General features: G+C 36.4%; 1 protein-coding gene across 18 annotated transcripts in view; it reads right to left on the bottom strand.

Annotated features, from left to right (window-relative positions):
- The window catches only part of VPS37A (VPS37A subunit of ESCRT-I), an 86,498-nt gene that overhangs the window by 39,886 nt on the left and 19,249 nt on the right, over positions 1–27,363 (bottom strand). For 12 of the 18 annotated variants that reach the window (XR_007060695.1, XR_007060696.1, XR_007060697.1 and 9 more), the window contains 9 exons: positions 25,198–25,312; positions 24,614–24,714; positions 18,612–18,837; positions 17,103–17,173; positions 13,415–13,542; positions 13,273–13,331; positions 13,127–13,195; positions 8,954–9,097; positions 7,143–7,223 (listed from right to left, as the gene is read on the bottom strand). Coding sequence is in view for 12 of the 18 variants with exons in the window: in NM_001363173.2 (NP_001350102.1) it covers positions 7,143–7,223; positions 8,954–9,097; positions 13,127–13,195; positions 13,273–13,331; positions 13,415–13,542; positions 17,103–17,173; positions 18,612–18,837; positions 24,614–24,714; positions 25,198–25,312 (994 nt within the window). In the remaining 6 variants the exon portion in view is untranslated. The remainder of the gene's footprint in view (positions 1–7,142; positions 7,224–8,953; positions 9,098–13,126; positions 13,196–13,272; positions 13,332–13,414; positions 13,543–17,102; positions 17,174–18,611; positions 18,838–24,613; positions 24,715–25,197; positions 25,313–27,363) is intronic. The other 6 variants (NM_001363172.2, XM_047421354.1, NM_001363170.1 and 3 more) reach the window with 1 other exon arrangement.

Below are 27,363 nucleotides of genomic sequence, written 5' to 3'. Positions count from 1 at the left end.
GTGCAAAAAGGCTGAAAATTCAAAAAACCAGAAAGCCTCTTCTCCTCCAAAGGATCACAACTCCTCGCCAGCAAGGGAACAAAACTGGACTGAGAATGAGTTTGATGAATTGACAGAAGTAGGCTTCAGAAGGTGGGTAATAAACTCCTTAGAGCTAAAGGAGCATGTTCTAACTCAATGCAAGGAAGCTAAGAACCTTGATAAAAGGTTAGAAGAATTGCTAACTAGAATAATCAGTTTAGAGAAGAACATAAATAAATGACCTACCTGATGGAACTGAAAAACACAGCACGAGAACTTCATGAAGCATACATAGTATCAACAGCCCAATCGATCAAGCAGAAGAAAGGATATCAGAGACTGAAGATCAATTTTATGAAAAAAAGCGTGAAGACAAGATTAGAGAAAAAAGAATAAAAAGGAACAAACAAAGCCTCCAAGAAACATGGGACTATGTGAAAAGACAAAACCTATGTTTGATTGGTGTACCTGAAAGTGACAGAGAGACTGGAACCAAGTTGGAAAACACACTTCAGGATATCCAGGAGAACTTCCCCAACCTAGCAAGACAGCCCAACATTCAAATTCAGAAAATACAGAGAATACCACAAAGACACTCCTTGAGAAGAGCAAACCCAAGACGTAATTGTCAGATTTACCAAGGTTGAAATGAAGGAAAAAATGTTAAGGGCAGCCAGAGAAAAAGGTTGGGTTACCCACAAAGGGAAGCCCATCAGACTAACAGTGGATCTCTCTGCAGAAACCCTATAAGCCAGAAGAGAATGGGGGCCAATATTCAACATTCTTAAAGAATTTTCAACCAATAATTTCATATCCAGCCAAACTAAGCTTCATAAGTGGAGGAGAAATAAAACCCTTTACAGACAAGCAAATGCTGAGGGATTCTGTCACCACGAGGACTGCCTTACAAGAGCTCCTGAAGGAAGCACTAAACATGGAAAGGAATAACTGGTACCAGCCACTGCAAAATCAAACCAAAATGTAAAGACCATTGATACTATGAAGAAACTGCATCAACTAATGGGCAAAATAACCAGCTAGCATCATAATGACAGGATCAAATTCACACATAACAATATTAACCTTAAACGGGCTAAATGCCCCAATTAAAAGGCACAGACTGGCAAATGATACAGAGTCAAGATCCATCAGTATGCTGTATTCAGGAAACCCATTTCATGTGCAAAGACACACACAGGCTTAAAATAAAGGGATGGAGGAAGATTTACCAAGCCAATGGAAAGTAAAAAAAAGCAGGGGTTGCAATCCTGGTCTCTGATAAAACAGAGTTTAAACCAAGAAAAACCAAAAAAGACAAAGAAGGGCATTACATAATGGTAAAGGGATCAATGTAGGAAGAAGAGCTAACTATCCTAAATATATATGCACCCAATACAGGAGCACCCAGATTCATAAAGCAAGTTCTTAGAGACCTCAAAGAGACTTAGACTCCCACACAATAATAGTGGGAGACTTTAACACCCCACTGTCAATATTAGATCAACGAGACAGAAAATTAACAAGGATATTCAGGACTTGAACTGAGTTCTGGACCAAACGGAACTAATAGACATCTACAGAACTATCCACCCATAATCAACAGAATATACCTTCTTCTCAGCACCACATAGCAATTATTCTAAAATTGGCCACATAATTGGAAGTAAAACACTCCTCAGCAAATGCAAAAGAATGGAAATCATAACAGTCTCCCAGACCACACTGCAATCAAATTAGAATTCCGGATTAAGAAACTCACTCAAAACCACACAACTACATGGAAACTGAACAACCTGCTCCTCGATGACTACTTGGTAAATAATGAAATGAAGACAGAAATAAATAAGTTCTTTGAAACCAATGAGAACAAAGACACAATGTACCAGAATCTCTGGGACAGAGCAAAACTGTGTTTAGAGGGAAATTTATAGCACTAAATGCCCACAGGAGAAAGCGGTAAAAATCTAAAAAATCAACACCCTAACATCACAATTAAAAGAATTAGAGAAGCAAGAGCAAACAAATTCAAAAGCTAGCAGAAGACAAGAAATAACCAAGATCAGAGCAGAACTTAAAGAGACAGAGACACGAAAAACCCTTCAAAAAAAAAAAAAAAAATCAATGAATCCAGCAGCTGTTTTGAAAAGATTAACAAAATAGACCACTAGCCAGACTAAAAAAGAAGAAAAGAGAGAAGAATCAAATAGACAAAATAAAAAATGATAAAGGGGAGATCGTATGGGCATGGTGGCTCACACCTGTAATCCCAGCACTTTGGGAGGCTGAGGTGGGTGGATCACCTGAGGTCAGGAGTTCAAGACTAGCCTGGCCAACATGGTGAAACCCCATCTCTACTAAAAATACAAAAATTAGCCAGGTGTGATGGCACATGCCTATAATCCCAGCTACTTGGGAGGCTGAGGCAGAGAACTGCTTAAACCTGGGAGGCGGAGGCTGCAGTGAGCCAAGATCATACCAATGCACTCCAGCCTGGGCAACAGAATGAGAGTCCATCACAAAACAACAACAACAAAAAAAAGATCACCACCGATCCCACAGAAATACAACCTACCATCAGAGAATACTATAAACACCTTTACACAAACTAGAAAATCTAGAAGAAATGGATAAATTCCTGGACACATACATCCTCCCAACCAGGAAGAAGTCAAATCCCTGAATAGACCAATAACAAGTTCTGAAACCGAGGCAGTAATAGCTCACCAACCAAAAAAAGCCCAGTACCAGACTGATTCATAGCCAAATTCTACCAGAGGTACAAAGAGAAGCTGGTACCATTCCTTCTAAAACTATTCCAAACAACAGAAAAAGAGGGACTCCTCCCTAACTGATTGTATGAGGCCAGCATCATCCTGATACCAAAACCTGGCTAAGACACAACAACAAAAGAAAATTTCAGGCCAATATCCCTGATGAACATCAATGCGAAAATCCTCATTAATGTACTGGCAAACTGAATCCAGCAGCGCATTAAAAAGCTTATCCACCACGATCAAGTTGGCTTCATCCCTGGGATGCAAGGCTGGTTCAACATACGCAAATCAATAAACGTAATCCACGACATAAACAGAGGCAATGACAAAAACCACAATTATCTCATAGATGCAGAAAAGGCCTTCGATAAAATTCAACACCCCTTCATGCTAAAAACACTCAGTAAACTAGGTAATGATGGAATGTATCTGAAAATAATAAGAGCTATTTATGACAAACCCACAGCCAATGTCATACTGAATGGGCAAAAGCTGGAAGCATTGCCTTTGAAAACTGGCACAAGACAACTCCTATTCAACACAGTACTGGAAGTTCTGGCCAGTGCAATGAGGCAAGAAAAAGAAATAAAGGTATTCAAATAGGAAAAGAGGAAGTCAATTTTTCTCTGTTTGCAGATGACCCGATTGTATATTTAGGAAACCCCACTGTCTCAGCCCAAAAGCTCCTTAAGCTGATAAGCAACTTCAGCAAGGTCTCAGGATACAAAATCAATGTGCAAAAATCACAAGCATTCCTATACACCAATAATAGACAAACAGCCAAATCATGAGTGAACTCCCATTCACAATTGCTTCAAAGAGAATAAAATACCTAGGAATCCAACTTACAAGGGATATGAAGGACCTCTTCAAGGAGAACTACAAACCACTGCTCAAGGAAATAAGAGAGGACACAAACAAATGGAAAAACATTCCATGCTCATGGATAGAAAGAATCAATATCGTGATAACGGCCATACTGACCAAAGTAATTTATAGATTCTATGCTGTTCCCATCGAGCTACCATTGAATTTCTTCACAGAATTAGAAAAAATACTTTAAATTTTATATGGAACCAAGAAAGAGCCCATATATCCAAGACAATCCTCAGCGAAAAGAACAAAGCTGGCGGCAGGCATCATGCTACCTGACTTCAAACTATACTACAAGACTACAGTAACCAAAACAGCACGGTACTGGTACCAAAACAGACATACAGACCAATGGAACAGAACAGAGGCCTCAGAAATAACACCACACATCTACAACCATCTGATCTTTGACAAACCTGACAAAAGCAATGGGGGAAGGATTCCCTATTTAATAAATGGTGTTGGGAAAACTGGCTAGCCATACACAGAAAACTAAAAATGGACCCCTTCCTAACCTTATACAAAAATTAACTCAAGATGGATTAAAGATTTAAACGTTAAGACCTAAAACCATAAAAACCCTAGAAGAAAACCTAGGCAATACCATTCAGGACATGGGCATGGGCAAAGACTTCATGTCTAAAACACAAAAAAACAATGGCAACAAAAGCCAAAATGGACAAATGAGATCTAATAAAACTAAAGACCTTATGCACAGCAAAGAAACTACCATCAGAATCAACAGGCCACCTACAGAATGGGGAAAATTTCTGGAATCTATCCATCTGACAAAGGGCTAATATCCAGAATCTACAAGGAACTTAAATTTACAAGAAAAATACAACCCTATCAAAAAGTGGGCTAAGGATATGAACAGTTTCATAAGAAGACATTTATGCAGCCAACCAACATGAAAAAAAGCTCATCATCACTGGTCACTAGAGACATGCAAATCAAAACCACAATGAGATACCATGTCACACCAGTTAGAATGGCAATTATTAAAAAGTTAGGAAACAACAGATGCTGGAGAGGATGTGGAGAAATAGGAACACCTTTACACTGTTGGTGGGAGTGTAAATTAGTTCAACCATTATGGAAGACCAGTGTGGTGATTCCTCAAGGATCTAGAACTAGAAATACCATTTGACCCAGATCCCACTACTGGGTATATACCCAAAGTATTATAAACCACTCTCCTATAAAGGCGCATGCACACGTATGTTTATTGCAGCACTATTCACAATAGCAAAGACTTGGAACCAACCCAAATGCTCATCAATGATAGAATGGATAAAGAAAATGTGGCACATATACACCATGGAATACTATGCAGCCATAAAAAAGAATGAGTTCATGTCCTTTGCAGGGACACAGACGAAGCTGGAAACCATCATTCTCAGGAAACTAACACGGGAACAGAAAACCAACTAATGCATGTTCTCACTCATAAGTGGGAATTGAACAATGAGAACATATGGGCACAAGGAGGGAACATCACACACTGGAGCCTGTTGGGGAGTTGGGGGCAAGGAGAGGAATAGCATTAGAAGAAACACCTAATGTCAATGACAGGTTGATGGGTGCAGCAAACCATCATGGCACATGTATACCTATGTAAAAAACCTGTACGTTCTGCACATGTATCCCAGAACTTAAAGCATAATAATAATAAAAAAGATTTTCCTATAAAATAACTTGACTATGAGGGAATAGAGGTAAGGAACGGATTTGAGTATGTTCATATAAATGAGCAACTACTCTGTGTCTACTTCTTCTTAAGCTGGCAGATATGCAAAGTTGGTATCAAAAATCAGCCCCTACCCTTAAGGAATTTATAGTATGATTTGGAAAGTAACACATAAAACAATTCATTGTGAGCACTAATGTTACAAGGAGCAGAAATAGTTTACTGGACATGAGAAACGCCTGTCATTTCTTTTCCTGTACCCTAGTCCCTGTTTTAGGGAACCTCTCATGCTCTCTTCTCATAATCCACTCCCTCAGCCCAGTCGACTGGGCAGAGGACCACAGGATACCAATTTCCAGGCCAAACTGACTACAGTAGGATGGATAGCTTGCCCATACTGGGTCAGTTACTCTTCCAGGGAATGTTCTAGAACTCCAGGGACTCTTGTTTATCTCCATCGGCTGTCTGAACTGTCAGATGATATAATCAGGAATACGTGAAGGGCTAGTAAGAAAAAAGAATTTTTTTTTTTTTGAGACAGAGTCTTGCTCTGTCACCCAGGTTGGAGTGCAGTGGCGTGATCTCGGCTCACTGCAAGGTCTGCCTCCCAGGTTCATGCCATTCTCCTGCCTCAGCCTCCCGAGTAGCTGAGACTACAGGTGCCTGCCACCATGCCCGGCTAATATTTTTTTTGTATTTTTAGTAGAGACGGGGTTTCACTGTGTTAGCCAGAATGGTCTCGATCTCTTGACCATGTGATCCACACGCCTCGGCCTCCCAAAGTGCTGGGATTACAGGCATGAGCCACTGCGCTCGGCCAGAAAAAATTTTAAAAAAGAATAGAGATGCAGAAATAAGAAACAACCAAACAAGCAGCCTCAAAAAAGGTGTGAGAAGAGCTGTTTTGGTCACTGAGTGGCTGTTTTCAGTCTCAGGTGACTGTACTTTCCTTCATTTTTACTCTATAATAAATCCCTGTCCTATCAAATAACATAAGCTTTTACTTAAGTTTGTTGGGGTGGGAACTATTCTTGCAAACAAATCATTCCTAAAACAAAACAGATGCAGAGGAAAAGGAAAGGCATCTTAACATCAGGTACAAGCACGGCCAAAGATACCGTGGTAGAAGAAAGAATGTGCCATGTAAGACAACGCAATGTAAGGGGAAAATGCAAAGTTAAAATGGATGATCTGAAATATATGCAAGATTATGGAAATCTTAAAAGCAGAGGAATTTGGCATGGATACTGTCATTACTAGCGATTAATTACAGGTTCTGGAGTAGAGCAAATTTTATCATAAAAGTGGTATTTTAGGAAGATCATTCTATCAGTGCTGCATAGGAAGAGAACCCTCAAGTCGTGGGGACAGGTGAATTATTAGAGTAATCGTGGTGTGGGATAGAGAAAGAGACTGGCTGGAAGTTCACTTTAAAGGAAGAAATGACAAAGGAGCCTTCTGAGAAATGTTAGCCACATGACAAGGTATACTCTACACACCAGGTGAGAGAAAGGAACTGACTATAACTTACAATTCTACATTAGCAGCTAATGTTAAAAAAATCTCATTCATGCCAAGATCACAGAAAATATCCAAAAGATTTCTACTAGTTATATGTTTATATTATGCTTATTATATAATACAAAGCATTCTATGTTACATAGCACAGTAACTATAATGACAGAATTATGCTTAAGGCTGATGAACAGGCACCGTTAACAACATGTCTATTTAAAGAACACTGATGCAATCACCTTGAGACTCAAACTTGAAATACAATTTACCTATAGTGGAGCATGAAATTGGCTGTGCATTGCTATCGCCTGCTGAAGTTTCTCTTCCTTGGCTCTTCTACAGTGGCAAATCTAGAAAATAAATTTTTGAAAATACCAGTCACTTTTACAAAGATATGCCTACTACTTTACTTCCAACAGTATGACAGGAAGCTTTTAACTTGTTGGCATTATTTTATGTTTTGAATGTTGAAGATAGCTAATAATCTAATAGCTAAAATTATCAAATTATGAGCAAATTCATTTCATTAGCACTAATGGTACAAGGAGCAGATAATACTTTGAATGGGACATGAGACATGCCTGTCATCTTCTTTCCTGCACCCCAGTCCCTGTTTTAGGGAACCTCTCATGCTCCCTTCTCATAATCCACTCCCTCAGCCCAGTCGACTGGGCAGAGGATCACATGACACCAATTCATTTTGAATTAGGTAGTAATCTAATAATTGAATGTTGAAGATAGCTAATGTTGACGACAGCTAAGAATTTAACAACCAAAAAAACAAAAAAACGCTCTTGCTTGGAAGACAGCCTTCGCCTACAAGCTTCTAGAATGTAAAAAACACTGATCCTTTATATCAATTATCTAACTTTAAATATCTATGTTTAAAAAAATGGACGTAAATTCTGCTACTGTTAAGCAGGAAGATTAACAGATACAAGCTTCAAGGCACAGTTACACAGCATTGAAGAATAATGGAGCAGAAATCAATGCCTTACTAACACTATAACCATAAGTAAGTCACTAACATCTCTGAACTTCAATTTCCTCTCATGAAAAATGGGAATGATAAAATCCACCTCATCTGCCTTAACAGGAGTGTGTGTATGTGTGTGTGTATGTCTCACAGATGTTTCATAAAGTTTACTAACAAAATACTATTTTTAAAATGTGATTATTTCAGACAAATTAGGTAAATATTTTGGACTGTATTAAAAGGCAAGAAACTATTAAGCAGACTTTTTTGGATTTTTCTTTAAATACAACAGAAATATCAGAACAGAACAGAAACTGTTTCTCAATTTTTAAAAATGTATTCTATAATCCCTGTACGTTATTCTTTCTTTCAACAAGTGGTAAAACAAGTCATTGAGGAGTCTATTTCAACTATTAGGACTAGATTTATCAGCTGTATTACAGAATGATACAGATACTACCATTTCTGAAACAACTATTTGATTTACCTGCTTGTATACTCAGAAAAAGCAAGTCTAAAGTGATAGGAAGATGCTGCTATTATTCTCAAGAGGCTTTTCAGGTTCCTCTCACAGCACTCAAAACTCCAGTTCAGTAATGTGCTAATGTTTTTCACTCATGAGTATGCTAAAGTAATTTGATACTATGCTGTCAAAAAAAAAATTTTTTTTTTTCCAGATCAGCACAAAGTTTATTAGCAATTTCTGCTCAGAAGAGCCCCCTTCTGACCAGGACTGTTCCTCTGACATACCAGACAGGAAATAGCCACACGTACAGGCCCTCACTCTCATTTATATCTCAAGTCACATCAAAAGGACATCTTAGAGCAATGGCAGTTGCCCCCCTGGGGTCCCCTGGGAATAGCTAAGGTGTGTGGCTGTCCAGAGTCCTATGACAGACCTTCAAAGTTTTAAGTTCCAGGAACCTGGTTTTTGCCCAAGTCCACACCCAAGGAATAGAAACCTTCCTTTCAGGTAAATATATTGTACAAAAAAAGGGGGATGATATCATAATAGAGAAATAGCTAACACCCAGTGCTTCTCCTCCTCTATAAAAATACCAAACTTTATCCAATACTTGTCCTCAACTGACGAGTATTACATACTGTTCTCTTTTCCATGAAGCTACTGAGAAAATCATCTATTTCCATCTTTCCCTCCAAGAAGTCTTCTGCAATATTATCAGATTCTTCCTCAGCTTCATGTGCAGCTACTTTCAATCTTGCCTGAAGGGCACTTGCACTACAGCTCTGAAAAAGAAAATCAGGCACTACTTTAATTTATGATACTCACAAGAACTCCTCACAGGGAAAGGAAGTAAGGTAGTGGTATGGAGAGGCAATTTATTATATGCCCTATATAGCCTCTTTTTGAGAAAATCTGCTGTCTTATAATGCCCCACCCAGGTCCTTAGCTTTTGGATAGGGGTAGACACCTAACTCAAGAGAAACTAATCTATTGGCTGCAAACTATTAAATGAGAGAAACTGGGAAAATCATTGTTCTCTCCTAAGGATTTACGAATTAAATCACTGTGGTAGATATATGCTAAGGAGACGCTCCACTAATGACCTCACCTCCTGGTATTCCTGCCCTTGCATAATCCCACCATTGAGTGTGGGCTGAACCTGACGACTCATTTCAATAGAATAAGGCAAAAATGATGGGATTAAATTTCACTAAAGCAGTGAAAGACTGATAAACAGAAAACTGTAGACACTGCTATAAGAAATTGAAGACATAAATTACTGGAAGACATCCCATGTTTATGGGTTGAAAGATTTAATATTCTTAAGAAGACATTACTAATCAAAGCAACCTATAGACTCAATGCAATCCCTATCAAAATCTCAAGGGCATTTTTTGCAAAAATAGAAAAACCTATCCTAAAATTCATACGGAATCTCAAGAGACCCCAAATAGCCAAAACAATCTTAAAGATGATTAATATTTCCTCATGTCAAGTTACTAACAAAGTTACAGTAATCAAAACTGTGGTACTGGCATAAAAACATAAAGAACAATGGAACAGAATAGACAGCCCAGAAATAAACCCTCACACATATGGCCAAATGATTTTCAACCAGGGAGCCCAGTCCAGTTAATGGGGAAAGGAATCTTTTCAACAAATGGTGCTGGAAAAAACTGGATTATCGACAGGCAAAGGAAAAAAGTTGGACCCTTACCTTACTTAAATACAAAATTGATTCCAAATGGATCAAAGACCTAAATCTAGGCACTAAAATGATTTTTTAATAATAGCTATCCTGCTTGACGTGGTGGCTCATGCCTGTAATCCCAGCACTGTGGGAGCCTGAGGCAAGCAGATGGCTTGAGCCTGGGAGTTCATGACCAGGCTGGGCAACATAGCGAGACCCCGTCTCTACAAAAAATACAAAAATTAGCCAGGTGTGGTGGCATGCACCTGTAGCCTTGGCTACTTGGGAGGATGAATTGGGAGGATCGCTTGAGCCTGGGAGGTCAAGGCTGCAGTGAGCTGTAACTGCAGCACTGCACTCCAGCCTGGGTGACAGAGTAAGAAAAAAAAAATAATGGCCATGCTAATGCATGTGGGGTAGTATCTCTTTGTGACTCATAAATAAAAATGAACTGTAATGCACCATTTTCTCATTGCCCTTGCCAAAACTGGTTATCTATCTTCACAAATATGGCTCACATGGATGTTTTATTTGGCTTTTTAAAAAATTACAGTAAAGTTGAACATATTTTCCAAAGTTTCCAGTTATTTATTCATTAAATATTTATTGAGTACCTATTATGTGCCAACCACTGAACCAGATATTAGGTGTACAGTAGAAATGAAACAGAACAGATTCCTCCATCACGGAACCAATGGTCTAATGAAGTGGTTTCCATATGTAAGAGCGCAGAAGATTCATCATCCCCAGAAAATTTTGACTGAGAACATCTAGAAAGAAGCCTAGGAATCATTGTTTTGTGTGTGTGTGTGTGTGTGTCTTTTTTTTAAGTGTTTGAAGAGTCACTTCCAGCAATTCTTATATGAATGTTTAAGGATCAGAATAACTGTTAAAGCAGAATCTTTATTGGACATTTATATTTCTCCTTTTGTCAGTTTCCTGTTGTTTCCTTTTCCAATAGACCACTGGCATTAGTATTTGTTGTATAGGCTAAAAATATCTGTACCCTTTTTTTAACTTCAATTTTGATTTCATGATTTTTTAATATATCTGAGTTTTCAATCTGTAGAGGTAAATATGTCGAGTTTTTCCTTTATGCTCATATCTGTTTTATTATGCTAAGAAAGGCTTTTCCCACCATAATCTTAAAGAAAAAATCCTAGAAGCTAGTTGACGTTTTATGGTTTCCGCTGAAGCAGTTTATCTGTAATAAACTTTCTGTGTATTGTATGATACAATGATCTAACCTTTTTCTAAATGGATACTAAATAACCAATTTTATAATTTATTGAATCCTCAATTTTTTCCAACTGATTATTCACATACACAAGTCTATTTTTGAACTACATAGTCTGTTCCATAGAAATAATTTTCTCTTCCTATAAAACTACTATACTGTTTTAAATAATGAGGATTTACAGTGTATTCTGATACTGGGAAAGGGAGTTTTTTTCATTTTTTCTTTTTGTTCAAGCTCTTCCTGACTACCCATCTGAAAAATAAAGTTTCAGATGAACTTTAGAATAAACTGTTAAGATAAAAAAAATATTCTTGGCATTTTGATAAGAACTGTATTCAATTTCTAAGTTATTTTGGGGAGAATGAAATCTTTTTAATAATGGATCTTTCATTCAATGAATATTCTATGCTGCTCTAAATAGTCTTAGAAAATACAAAACTCAGCTCTTCTTTTATGGCATTCAATAAAGTTTCCTAACTTACTTCATTGGGTTTACTTCTAAGTACTTTACAATTTTGTTCCTATGGTAAATGAGTTGTTTTCTGTACTTCATTTTGCAGTAGTAATTGCTGGAGCAAACAGGAAAAAATTTCTCAGTTCTCTAGAATTTTTGATTGTTTATTTTTGGTAAACAACTGTTTCATTTCTTCTTTTTATGTTATACCACTTTTTTTTGGTCTTGCAGTACTCAAAACCTCCCAAACAACGTTAAACAGCAGTGATCATGAGGCATTACTCTCTTATTCCTAACATTAATGGGATCCTAGAAATGTGTAGTAATTGTGAGGTTTACTGCTGGTTTCTAGTATTCTTTTTCAAATAAGAAATTTCTATTTTTAGTTTACTAAGAGTTTGTATAAAGAATGATGTTGAGTACTATGAAAGCTTCTTCAACATTTACTAAGGTCCAGTATATATCTAACAGTACTTCAGTTGAGTCTCACAGATTTTCTGTGAAGGAGGACTGCTTAGGTTACACTCCTAACTAATGTTTCTACTTGTATGACCTCAAGAAATTTATTTAATCTCCCTGTGCCTCAGTTTCCCTATCTGTAAAATGTAAAATGGGAAAAAGTAACAATACCTATTTCATAGGATTTGGTGTAATAATGGCCCAATATACGTAAATAGCTTCATGCGGTGCAAGACATATTAATTGCTCAATGTTAGCTATTATTTCTTTATTCTGACAAATGACCGTATTATCTGAAATTCATTATAAATTTATATTCTCCTTTACCATCTTTTTTGCTGTTGTTGGTTTATGTCTATTTTATGTTTTATTTCATTGACTTTACCCAAAGTTCCTAATTTTACAGGAAACAGAATATTAACTATGAGGTTGTTATTGGTATGATACAAAGATTATGTCCTCTGGTTCCTTTTCAAAGATTCCTTTTTTTTCAGAAATATAGGTTGAATTTTATAAAATTCTTTTGATTTTCACATAACTGGATTTCTAGCATAAAACTTATTTGTAGCAGATAATACTATATATTTTTCATATATTATTCTTTTTAATTTGCGAACTTTTCATTTAAGGTATTTGTAGATAAGCTTACAAGTGAGTCGAAAGTTTTTGTTGTTATTGCTAGGTTTCACTACAAGTGTTACAATGGTTTCATAACTTACCCAGAAAAGTTATGTGTCAGGGCCTGTCATAATTTTCTGTTTTAGAAACAAATACGCTCTTATATGAGCACAAATAATGTATGATGCCTCATCACTGAGAGCTGTTCATCCACGTTTAAAGGTATCATGTCTTATAAGGTCAGATACCTCATAAATGGTTTCTGATGATAATGAAAGTGAGATCAGGACTCATGCACATAAGATTAAAAAAAAAATCTATGGCAAAGGGAAAAAAATAAACAGTCTTACCTCACTAAGTTCATGCTGCCTTTGCATCTTCTTTTCGAAAGTGGACTTCATCTGTGTAAGTAATTCATACTAAAAGAGAAAATGAAAAGGTTGTTTTATTCTATTTTTAAATTATGTAAATTTCTTCAAAATTATCACTAACTCACCTTATCTAAAACAGTTTGTCTTTTGGCTTCCAAGCTGGGCTCCAAAAGGAGATTTTTTCCTGTAAGATAAATCTCTAGTTTACTTCTAGGTAAAGATGAGATTTTTTTCAGGAAATGTGCGCTCAGGAGAGGGAAAACATACTTGCTAGTTCCTCAATACTTTTTACTAAGTCATCTTTGTCGGTAATAATTTGTTTTAGTTGAGGCAAAGTCAGAAACTGTTCTAGTAATACCTCCTCTTGTTCATTCATATCTGTGAGTTGTGACACACTAGAAACACAAAAGAAAAAATGTCAATAAATATCAGACATCGAGTTTTTCTCCATGACAACTATTTACAATTTTTCAGCTTTAGTTAACTGATAGGGTTCTAAATAATTTTTACATATACACCTAAGGCTGCCAGTTTTAACCTTAAAATCAAATAAAACATCAACCACAATGGAACATAGAGCAGTCTGTAATATATTCTTGACAGAATCTGTAAAAGTAAATTTTGGTCCAATGGATATATCGATATATCTACTTTCTTTAAAAATCACAACCGTGGGGAAGTGTTCACAGTTATACAGTGACCTGAAATTAAAAATAAAGTCAACTTAACTCAGGTAAAGAACAATGTATGAAACTAAGGAGCTTATTCAGCTTAGGTTTCTTAAAATAGGACAGCAGTAATATAGTTAAGTATTTTTTTCTTGTTCTTAATTCTGTTTAACTTAATTGCTTGAGAATATCACTTATTTCTTAAATTTCCCTGATAGGAACCAGACTTACTGATATGTAAAATTTAAGCTATTTATTTCTTCCAAGCATAATGTTGAACACACTAGTACTATAGTAAATTCAGACAAGTACAAGTTCACAGACAAGGTAGCATGAGAAGAATTTCTTCCTAGTCATTTCATTGTATGTATTGATAAGAGGGAAACAGAGCTGAAAAGAGGCCAGAGTAGTTACTGTAACATTTTGGCTTTTTCCTCTAGTCAGCTTTAGACCAGGTCAGTGCATGATTCCAAGGATGTGTTGGCCAAAATGTAGCCAGTAAAATCTCCCAAGACTCTACAAGATAAACAGTCTCTGCTAGTGTATAATGTCAGTTACTGTAGGACCAGTAAGACACGGCACATAAGCAGTCACAACAACTCCGTTTTAACCTCTGTGACTATTTAGCTTACAGATGTGTGGCTGTCACAGTAAGAGTTATAGATATGTTTATGTGTGTTTATGTATATGTGTGTACAGATATTCATAAAATATTTAAAGAAAAGAAATAATGGAGGGCTAAACCAAAAACAAAAATGGGTATCTGTAGGGTGAAAGAACTAGGTGGAGCAGATATGGATGGAAGCAAAACTTTTCTGAACGTATCTTAGTTTTGACTATGGAGCCATATAAAAACGTTGGATAATTTAAAAATAAAGAAGAAAAGAAAAAGCAGTCTTTAAAATTCAGGGAAAATGGACTGCTTTGAAAATAAATAAACCTGTATATTCTAAGTTATATCAACACCCAGAGAAAAATTATTTGGAGAGATTAAAAAAACAACAGTATATTCTGGCATGTCATATCCTAAAGACAACAGAACTGTAAAAAACAAAAACAAAAATTTAACCTGCATTCAATAATCTTAGTAACAGTACTGGTATTGTTATTTTGGAAAAGAACAAGCACCCTTCAGAGAAATGGCTGACTCTAGGTCTGGGAGAAGAAATGTTCATGATGAGCCCACAGCATCTTCACTTTGCCAAAAACGATACAGAAGGCAACTTGAGTTTCTCACCCATCAGAGCAACTTTTGGAGACAGATAGTGCAGCAACTCATTATTGTGACAGGTGATAATATAAGGGGAAAAATTTAAGCATTTTTCTTGGTCCTGTATGAAGTATACTTCAGTATAACTAAATATGTAGTTGATTAAGTCAAGTTCTTCATAGAGTAATTCTGGTTAATAAATTCTGGTGGTAATGATAAAATCATTAAATCATATTTATGACCCTTGCTATATTAATGATGGTCAATGATTTCAGGTGCTTTAACCTGATATAATCTTAATGTCACTAAAAAAAGGGCAACCAGACCTCACTGCTGCCTCATAGGATGTAAAAAGAAGCATGCAGTAATTATGACATAAGTATTGGCAAAAGAATTGAACCTTGTCTACTTCTAGCCACCAGCAGCATAAACTATGGGAAACAGAGAAACATCTTCAATGGTACCACAAGGAGGCACTAAGGAAAAAACAGGATATGGAAAATTTTATAGGACAAATAACCAATTTAATAAACACACACTATGTCTAATATACACGCATGGATGTATGTACATGGACATGTATTTATTCCCATATTTGTGTACATGTATACGAACATATGTAAATACACATATGTATATGTCTGTGTGTGTGTGTGTGTGTGTGTGTGTGTGTGTGTGTGTGTATAAAAGAGAAAAGTTGGGGAGAAATGGTTCATTATTAAAAGGAACTTAAGAGATCCACTATCCAAATGCAATAGGTGGAACTCGTTTTGAATCCTGATTCAAACAAACTGCCCACAAAAATATTAATTATTAAGACACTGGAGAAATAAGGTAATATTAAAGAATTACCATTAATTGTGTTAGGTATGATGATGATGGTGACTGGGGTTATGGTTAAAAGGAAAGAAAATCCTTACCTGGTAGAAAAATTTACTGAAGAATTGATGGGTTAAAAAGGATGTATTATCTGGGATTTGCTTTAGAATAATGGTGACTCATACCTACAGCCCTCCAAGAAAGCTGGATAGAAGAGGCATGAAGCATGGTGAGCAAAAGGGTTTATAGCTGTTGTTGCCACATGATGGATACGTGGTGGCTCATTATACTAGTTTCTTCACCTTTTTTGCATTTTTGATGTTTTCATAACAATTATTTAAAAAAAATTTAAAGCAAAAAAGATAATCTTATTAAATGAGAACTCCTACCTTATGGGGTTATTGTGAGCATTACAATGCATATTAACCTTTAATGTATGCAGTATATTGTAAATATTCATTTTATTACAGAAGACAATAAATCACTATTTCCTTAAAATGACTATAAAACACTGGTGCAAATAAATTTAAACTCTTTTTAAACTACAGAATTTCTCATGGGTACTTGGCTGTACATCTTTGATGAGATATATCCTAAAGACAAAAAGGACTGCAAAAAAATAAAGAAAAAGTCTAACTGCATTCAGTAGTCTTATTAGTAATAAGAGCCTTATGAGTATCATGAACTCTCAATGGGGGTATAAAGGGTGCAGTGCTTCCCAAAACTGAATGGCAAAAAACCATTTTCTTCATGAAACATTTTAGAGAAGCAAAGTTCCATGAAAAATGGCACCTTAAATTTGATTATAAACTTTTCTGCTATAAATTTGAAAAAAAGTTTGGATCTGTAAAAACACCTAATACTTTATAACTTTATTTCTCTATATGTAAAGTTTATCTACTAAGGGAACAATGGAAGATCTAAAATAGGCCAAGATATATTTTGAAATTGTCAGGAATAATGTATTCAAAAATATTTTTCAAAGAATGCAGGCCACATGACAGAAAGGATTTTGTTATCTTGGTAACTATTATATCATTATAAAAATCCTATAAAAATCCCTGAGTATGTACCAGTCACTCAATAAATGTAACCTATAGGACCTAAAACTGATTTTTAAATCCCACTAAGGCAACAACAATATTGTTTAGGATTAGTGAAAATTTTAAACTTTAATTTATATGGATATGAAATAATAATCTGGTTTATGCTTACAAATAAAATAGACAATGTGACCAACTTTACTTTCCAGGTTTACCTTAGTTCTGAGAGTTCTGGAAATGCATCAGGGACATCTGGCATCTTGTACCCAAAACCATTTTGGCTTGTCTAAAGAAAAGTTTTAAATGATATTAAATTTCAGCCATTATTTTTGACTGCTCTCAATTACTAATAAACGTAATCTTTAATGTACTATATCCCATAACTGTTTGCATTATCATATTTTCATCTTCACATCTCACACTGCCTTAGTCTCCCCTTCTTCCTTCAGTCTGTCTTCTTTTCAGCGTCGTATACATAGGATTACTTTTTTTTTTGGTGATGGCCATGTGAGGACCTGTGTTAGGTAGAGAACTGGTAGTTCTCTTTCTTGTCTAAGTACATGGCTGTAGATTTCATTGGTATATATGAATATGTTTCTCTCAAGTGAAAGGCATTAAATATACAAAAGCAATAATTTATCAACAGTCTGAATAGTTACATGCCTCAGTCACATGAGACGGTAGGGTAGATGAGCAACCGAGTAGCCACTGTTTGAATATATATGACTTTTTATCCTTGAGGACCCTTGAAAAGTCCTCTTGTAATTTTGTTCACACTACTAACTGTAATTTGTTCACAACACTCATTAACACAATAAATGAAAGGTTTTGGAAAAACCAAGTCCACTTAGGTCTGTATCTTCTAAATGATTATAAACTCTGAAATTAGTAATGTTGGATATACTATGGTTTCATACTTGAGTAATGCTATGGGTGATATTCACTGAGGGTTTTAATTGAAAGGTTTTATACCCCTTTAAATGTTTCATGCCCTAAGTATTAGTCTCTCCTTCAGGAACATTCCACATAGCAACAGTTACCAGCTTAAGAATATACAAGCTTTTAAACCAACGGAACACTTGAAGCCCTCAGCGTATGTTAGCAGACCCATCATAATGTGACACCTGCTGCTCCCACATGATCATTCTTCTGCCTTTGCCCACACCCTATATGGCAGCCAGAGAGATCTACTATAGGCAGCTTCACAAAAATGCCATCCAGTTTCTACCTCAATGTCTTTGACAATGTTACTGCCTCTCAAAGAATGCCTTATGTATCCCCTTGTTATTCTGGCAAATTAATAATGATCTTTCAAAATCTGGCCTCAAGCATAAATGCATGCATTTGTTTAGCTGCCTCATTTTTAAAGAGTACCCACTATATTCATCAGTATATTTGAGGCACTAAGAAAGTGGTGAAAAAAACCAGAATCACATTTTTTGTAAAGGCGATCTACTAGTTCTACCTTGGTCCCTAGGAGCACTGACCATTCCCCTAACTGTGTCTCTACCAAAACTCTGTCCCTTCTACTACACTAGAATTAGAAGCTCCATATTTAAAATTATTATTTGTTGGTTACCTGTTACTTGAATTGAAAAATGTGAGTTCATCTTTTCATATTTTGTGTCTAACTTATTATCTGGCACACAGAGGCATGTAATAAAGGTGTGTGGATTGAATGAATGTTTCAGTGGCACAAAATATAGATAACTGACGATACCAACCGGTATTGAAGCATCCACTGTGGGAATGGGTAATGGCAGATTTGAAAGGACACCAAATGAAGGAGCGGCAGGCTTGGCTGTGGTATGACTTGTTGTTGAAGAAGAAACAGTGTCAGCAACAGATAAAGAAGTGATACTCCTGTTTGCTTCTTGTGGAGGATATGGAGGAAGAAATGGAAAACCCTGAGAAGCATAAGGAGACATCCCACTTGGGTTACTGTATAGACTGAAAAGAAAAAGAGAAGATCATTACATTAGATTTTATGGATAAAACATGTCAAATTGTTTCTAAATTGTTCTAAATAACAAAGGTCAAGTACTATATAGATGAAATGTTATAATGGCAGGTGATATTTATTAAATTATATAATGGAATTAAATATTATATAAAGTGGTAAAATATGACCCCACCCCCCCGAAAAAAAAGAATTGTAGAATTGTGGTTTCTACAAAGAAGATGATGGGTGCTTTAGAAAGCATGCAATTCAACTGGACGGAGTAGAAGTGGATAGACAGGCCATTTTTGAGTTTTCAGCACTCCACTGCTATCAATCAGTATCTCCATAGAGGGAATGCAGAGCAATATTTAATCCAGGACATTTATTCAAGTAGAGGCTAACAGCTTTCTCTGTATTTGTCAAAATCTGACTGAAAGTCAAGACTGCTTTTCTAGAAAATTTCGAAGTAAAATTAAGTATGCAGATGAGCTTCTAAAATGTTGAAATATTAAAAACAGATGCATATATAAACACGCATGTATATTAGAGTCACACAGCATTATGTACTTTGGATTCAATCACAGAACAATATAGTCAGTATTTATTTTTGCAAGATAACAAATATTTTACATTTAACATTTTTTCCCCTTAGCAAATTTTAGAGAGAACCAGATCATTATATTACTCTAAAAAGCATTAGAGTAATTCAGACCTAGATGCAGACTGAGAATCATCTAAATACAATATATGAATAATACAGTGAGTTTATATGGATCAGGCACTCTAGTGTAAAGGATAAGGGACTTACAGTTATGTTTTAAATATTAATGTAATGCTACTAAAATGCTTCCCTTTACATTGAAAAATGTTTCAAAATGTATTAATTTTTTATGAGAGTACTATTATTTCATTTAATGACATAACCTGAGTTGGAAATTTTGTGGGAAGAAAACATTTTTTTTAAATGTATACGAATGACACTAAAATGTATATGGAAAAATAAGCCACAGTAGAAAGAAAAAAAGCCTGAAAAAGGAAGGTACAGAAATATTAGTCCTTTGATAAAGCAAAACAAATTATAAAACCCTAATACACGCCTGTAATCCTAGCACTTTGGGAGGCTGAGGCAGGTGGATCATGAGGTCAGGGGATCGAGACCATCCTGGCTAACACGGTGAAACCCCGTCTCTACTAAAAATACAAAAAATTAGCTGGGCGTAGTGGTGGGCGCCTGTAGTCCCAGCTACTCGGGAGGCTGAGGCAGGAGGATGGCATGAACCCGGGAGGCCGAGCTTGCAGTGAGCCGAGATTGCGCCACTGCACTCCAGCCTGGGGAAAATAGGGATTGTATAGGAACAGAAACTGGTACAACTACTCTGGAGGGCAATTTTGCAGCATTTGTCAAAACTACAAATGTGCATTACACTTCTAGAATTTATCCAACAAATAAGCTCACATTTGGGTAAAATATTATTTTAAAGATTATTTACTGGAGCAGCACTGACGGCAATGAAGTAGGATGGGCTTTTGAGGGAGGGTTAGAAAACATGAAAATATCTGTCAGGCTTGCTAAAGACATTATAATACACCCATAAAACAAATACTTTGTGGCTATAAGGAATAATGAGGAAGTGCCTTAGTACTAACATGAAAAACTTTCCAAAACCATATCATTTAGTGACCCCCTCCACCAAAAAAAAAAAAAAAAAAAAAAAAAGGAAGGGCAAAATATGCTACCATTCATATAAAAAAGGGGGAAAATACAATACTATATATATTTTCTTGTAGATGAATAAAACAGCTCAGGAATTATATATACACAAACCCAAACAAATAACTTTAGATGCTAATGAGGAAAAAAAATTAAGCTGCAAGGGAAAAAAGTGACACGGAGATTTTCACTCTATACTCCTTTATACTTTTTGAATTTTGAGCCAGGTGAATATATGACCCCTAGAAAAAATTAAGTTTTCTAATCAGCTTGTTCATTTCAAACGATGGCTCATCTTTATCTTAAAATTTATCTGAAGGAATTAGTGATATGTATGTGAATATAACAAGCTATTTAGAAACAATAAAACCAACATGAGAGAGTATTTGTAATATCTTTGAATTTAAATCAATAATTCTGACCCAATCTGCTTTATTTTGAACTCAGTAGCAGGTACAACCCACAAAATAATCTAAGAAATGCATCAAACTTGATTTTTAATAATGGTACTATATCCCCGAACTTATCTGAAATGAAAACAAGTAAACTTGTCGGTTTGTATTTTCAAATAAGGTAAATGAGTTTATATCCAGCCCTATTACTACAGAAGATAGAGGTATGGGTTTTGAATACATTTTTTATCTGAAAATAAGGACTCAGGACTCTAGAACATAGAAAACAGGAAGAAAAAGATGAGGGGGAGAGGGCTGAAGTACCTGGAAGTGGAATGCTGCTATGACAACAACAACAACAAAAATCTAAAGTGTGGGAGTAGCTTTGGGACCAAGCAGAGCTATAGGCTGGAAGTCCCCTCAGAAGATTATGAAGGTCTAATGGGCCTCAAAGAGGCTGTTAGGAGGAGCCTGGTGGGCCTTTGAGCAGATGGTCACCGGAAGGAGAACTTTTTATTAGTGGAAAGTTTACCAATACTGCTGCATGCAATAATATGGAAAACAGAAAATGTACCTAGTGAATTGGATGATCTAGCTAAGGAGATTTCCAGGCAGTGCGGATGGTGCCACCTGATTTCTAGCTGGCTGTAGTAAAATGTGAGAAGAGAGAGAAATTAAAGAACTGCTAAATATGAAAGATGAGATTTCCTGGATTTGAAAATAAATTTATCTCTCATTCCTAGCTTCCCTAAGATTCTCAAATTAAGAAACACCTCTAAAAGCAAAGTTCAAACCCAGCATGGGCTAGAAGATCCTTTGTTAACACCTCTGGAAGAGCCAAGGCAGAGCCTCAGAGTGCTGTCGAGTAAGAAAAACAGCCACTTAGGGCTTCAAAGAATCTTAAAGACATTGTCTCTCAGCAGCCTCACTGGAAGCCCAACAGCTTATTTGGAGGAGCTTAGTGGGTGTTGCTTTTGTTTAATGAAATGAATGAAAAAGGATTCATAAGAAATCATAAGCATTTTTTTTTTTGAGACGGAGTCTTGCTCTGTCACCCAGGCTGGAATGCAGTGGCGTGATCTCGGCTCACTGCAAGCTCTTCCTCCCGGGTTCACGCCATTCTCCTGCCTCAGCCTTCCGAGTAGCTGGGACTACAGGTGCCCACCACCATGCCCAGCTAACTTTTTTGTATTTTTAGTAGAGACGAGGTTTCACCGTGTTAGCCAGGATGGTCTCGATCTCCTGACCTCGTGATCCGCCTGCCTCGGCCTCCCAAAGTGCTGGGATTACAGGCGTGAGCCACCGCGCCCAGCCAATCATAAGCATGTTAAAGGAATTGTGTCATCTTGGGTCTACAAGGGACAGAGAAAGTACCAAATGAAAAAGAGGCTAACAGACCCTTAATTTCTACAGGCAGGAAGCAGGCTGAAAAAACTATGCACTTGGAAACAAGGGCTACATTTTACAGAAAGGAATTATGACACAGAAGGCAGAACCAAGAAACGAAAATTACTCTATGAAGAATCATTTCCATTAACTAAGTCTTAATAAAAAAAACAATGTGCCCAGTTGGATTTCAGTACTGTTATGAACCAGTGGCTCCTGTGTGCTTCCTACTTCCTCTCTTTTGGAATCTATAGTGGTTACCCGAGGCTTGTTCTACCATTGTACAGTGGGTGTGTGAGGGGCAGCTACCTTGTCTCTTTAATTCCGTTGTCTTCAGATCAAGAGGAATTGTTCTTCAGGAACACAAGTGAGAAACCTCATCTGTACTTGAATCTGATTTAGATGAAAGAACACAAGCCTGATTCTACAATATGATGAACTCTGCAAGTTCTTGGGGAAAGGGGAGTGTGCCTATTCACCTATAGGAAAGAGGTGAATTCTTACGGCTAGGAGGAAGAATGTGACCGACTTTATATTCCAAAATGGCCACAACCAGATTTCCAGTCCCATATGAACTTCTTGAACTTTGCTACCCCATCGAGAAATGAAGTCTACTTTCCCTCCCCTTTCAATCTGGGTGGATCTAGGTGACTAACTTTAGAAAATGCAGCAGAAATGATGCTGAATAACATTCAGGACTAAACCAAAAAAGATAATACAGCTTCCACTTGGTTGGAATGCTCTCTCTCTTGGGATCCTGACCCTCAGATCTCACCCCTGCCACGCAGTGAGGAAGCGCAGGTCACATGGAGATGCCACATATAGATGTATCAGCACTGAAGTCTAACCATTAAGCCAACATTAACTGCCAGACGACACCAGGTAATGCAAAAAGTGGAGCAAAAATGAGTTATCGCCACTGGTCCCTAACCAAATGGTAGATTCTTATAAAAACATAAATGTCATTATTTCAACCAAAAGTTTTTAGGGTAATCTGTTATTCATCTGATATAGTTTGGATGTTTTCCCCTTTAAATCTCATACTGAATTGCAATCCCCAATGTTGGAGGTGGGGCCTGCTGGGAGGTGACTGGATCATGGGGGTGTATTTCTCATGAATACTTTAATGCCATCCTCTTGGTGCTGTCCTTGCCATAGTGAGTTCTCATGAGATCTGACTGTTTAAAAGGGTGTGGTACCTCCCCCACTCCTCACTCTTGCTCTCATCATGTAATGTGCCTGCACCCGCTTTACCTTCTACCGGGAGTAAAAGCTCCTCAGATGCCAAGCAGATGACAATGTCATGCTTCTTGTATAGCCAGCAGAACCCTGAGCCAATTAAACCTCTTTTCTTTATATATTACCCAGTCTCAGGTATTCCTTTATAGCAATGCAAGAACAAGACTAAAACAGTATCTTTAGTACGAGAACATGACTTTATTCAGGAAGCTACTGGAAGGCAGTAAACCAAGAAACTAGGAAATGGCCTGAGAAAGGGAAAAATGAAATCTAAGAAATGGAGAATCCAATACAAGAAAGTGGCAAAGGGAAAATCCCAGGATGACAACAAAGGAAATTCCTGGTGAGAGTTACTCAAATGTTATAGAGAGTAACTCAGAATGGAGGGAAGAAGTGGAGCACTGAATGTGAAGGAAACAATGAAACCCAGGTATTATCTTACTGGTTTGATATGAAAAAAATGGTTTAAAGGATATTTTTCATAGTTGCTAAAAGCTCTGTGGAAATTTAGTAAGATCTTAAAATTTAAGATGATGTGGAAAATGAAGATGATCTAAAACAAAACCAAACCAAATACAAAATGTAGGTAATTATTAATTCCAGAAAAAAGGCAAAAAATTGCACCATAAGGGAAATGTAAACATGGTAACATACTTGGCTCAGCAATGGACAATATTGAGAGTCACAGTAATAAATACACCAAATATGGAATAATATTAAAAATCATGATATAATTTCACTGAGACAGTGAGGAGAAAGGAAGTTTAGTGAAAAACAGCTGAAATCTTCATCTATTACAATAGGAGGCCAACAGATAATATCTAAAATGAAAGAATCGAGTGATAGAAGTACGCATACATTATTCAGAAAGATGTAGGTAAACATTAGAAGAAACAGGTAAAAGAGTAAAACAGTTGCCTCTGAAAGTATGGATGTATTTGTGGGGATGTAGAAATCAGAGGACTGATTTTTAACATCATTTGAATTTTTAAACTATATTTTGATTAATACATTAAAATACAGGCAGACTTTTTTATTTACTAGAAATATACTTACTAAGGAAATGCTGTTGAAGTAGGAGCTAAAACTGGAGGATTCTTCCAAAACTCATCCAACAGACTCTGAATAATTTTTCCAAGATCTGAGTGCATTGTAAACTGAAAGTAACAATACATGACGCTTAAAATCACTTCCAGAAAAAGATTATAAAGTCTCATTAGGATAATGTCACTCTAAATATTAACTTACTTTTGCAGGTCAAGAATTAAATGAAAAAGGATATTAGCAATTAACAAGTTATAGCATTTTCTTATAGAATCGATACCATAAATATCTGGTGATTAGTAAACAGGTTAAAAGTCCATTGAATAAAAAATGGAGCCAAAATATTTCCTTACTTGACTATTTACAATAATTTGAGGGTTCAAAGGTAAATACTAGAGTATATGGAAGTTATAATCTTTCACAATCAACCATATCATATTGTAAGAACTTTAAGGCGTAGTCTTAAATATTCAATTTTTAAAAAAAGTACTCATGACAAAATGAAACTTTAAATGCATTTCAGATTTCTAAAATATTTAGTAGAAAAGTAATACACCTATTATATTACCCTGAAATAAATTATCCCATATACATACATTGTTTACTAATGGAGAGGTAACATACACTCCTTGTTTATCCATTAAGTGATGTCGTATTGGTGGATAAACACTGATCACTGGTTTTTCCTGAGGAAACTGTGGAGGAAGCAATCTGGTAGAGGTAGAACAGATGAAAAACAAAAACAAAGATAACAAAGGTACATTATATGGTCAAAATCTTAAAACAAAGCTATTTAAAAGTAAATTAAATTTTCACACTTTGATATGGGTCATTTAGTAATAAGTGCTCTATTATGGTGTTGTCTGAAAATATGTTTAAGACTAAAATTTGGTAACAAGACTAGTCATTCAACGCAGTAAAATCTTAATGTGAAATATGGACATGAATTATAGAATATTCTTCACATCATGCCAATTAGTTGCTTTCAAACACAATATACCAAGCTATACAAAATCTTAGGTAGAAATTAGATCAGGCATTTTTATCAGGTGAACCATACTAGTCCAGTCTGGCTATTTATTGGACCACAGGTTCTAGCCATATAATTTTCTGTGGTTTTTCTACTTTGAGAATGCTGTCACGGCTGGGCATGGTGGTGCATGCCTGTAGTCCCAGTTACTTGGGAGGCTAAGGCAGGAGAGCCACTTGAGCCCAGGAGTTCAAGTCCAGCCTGGGCAACACAGTGAGACCTCATCTTTGAAAAACTAAAGTAAGATAAAAATAAATAACATGCTGTGAAACATTATTTCACTATTTACTGTATTTCTAAAGAGGATAAAATGTAAAGTAGGAGGATTGAAACAATGTAGCTGTCATCAAGACTTGGTTCTACACGGCTCCCTTCTAAATGCCCCAAATGACACATCTCTCCCAAGTTAGAGGTCAATCACATGGTTTCACGTAAAGAACAGTATATTTTCAACACACACACACACACACAAGCAGAAATTTTAACCTTTTTTGAACTACTACAAAACCAAGATTAGTGAGTGAAATCTTAAAAATGAGAGTTTACTGGATATGAAACCCTGTTTCCAAATCTCTAAAACTCAAGAATATTTTACTTTGAATTGTCTCTTTGTTCCCCTGATGGTTCAGACAACTATTTGTTGGTCATACTGTTGAAAAGAAAACTGGGTCCTTGTTGGCCTCTCCTGCTTAGCTTTACCTGGTCATTTGATGAGAGATAAAACTACTTCATTTACAAAGCTGAAGATTTTAAAACTAGTTTGGTAAAAAAGGCACTAAATGGCCTTTGGAGCCCAGTTTGTATCTTGACTATGCTACTTACTAACCGTGTTTCTGTAATTTGCCCTAATTTGCAAGGCTGCTGTGAGGATTCAAAAAGCTCACATACGCCTGTAATTCCAGCACTTTGGGAGGCCGAGGCGGGTGTATCACGAGGTCAGGAGTTCGAGACCAGCCTGACCAACATGGTGAAACCTCGTCTCTACTGAAAATTCAAAAATTAGCCGGGCATGGTGGGGCGTGCCTGTAATCCCAGCTACTCAAGAAGCTGAGGCAGGAGAATCGCTTGAACCCGGGAGGCGGAGGTTGCAGTGGCCAAGATTGTGCCACTGCACTCCAGTCTGGGCGACAGAGGGAGGCTCCGTCTCAAAAATAAGTAAATAAATAAAAAAGCTCATATATATCGTTAACACAGCACTTATATATTCATGCTTTAATTCACTCATTAGTATTTAATAAGGTCTCCTATGTACAGGCAGTATGCTGGCAAGGAGAACGTGAAGGTGAATATGATAAGGTTCCTGTCTTCAAGTTAGGTGCCTTCTTATCTGGCTCAAACACTTGCTCTAGCAGCAGCCACTTAATGTAACCTCAGGTAATCACAGCCTTTTCACACTACAGCCTCATAGCTGCATTTAAGGCTAAATTGCTACTTCAGCAATCACTTTGTCCAACTTTTTGTAACTTAAGTAAAACCCTCATAATTATACTTTTAACTTTTTTGTTTTTCTTAAAAATGATCAGCAAATCAAATCTAATCTTGAACTTTCTGGTTGATGTAGTATATCTGTTGCTGAAATTTGGAATATTTTAACTTGTTTCTGATTTAAAGGTGAATCTATCTCTAACGGCTTTATATATATAACCCCTTTGTTTTTTATTATCATTTTTCAGCATACCTCCTGCTAAGATTTTAGTGCTTATCAATAAAAACAATTACAGTACTCAGAATT

Source organism: Homo sapiens, chromosome 8 (assembly GCF_000001405.40).
Source record: "Homo sapiens chromosome 8, GRCh38.p14 Primary Assembly".
NCBI lineage: Eukaryota > Metazoa > Chordata > Mammalia > Primates > Hominidae > Homo > Homo sapiens.
This window is presented reverse-complemented; position numbering and strand designations above follow the sequence as displayed.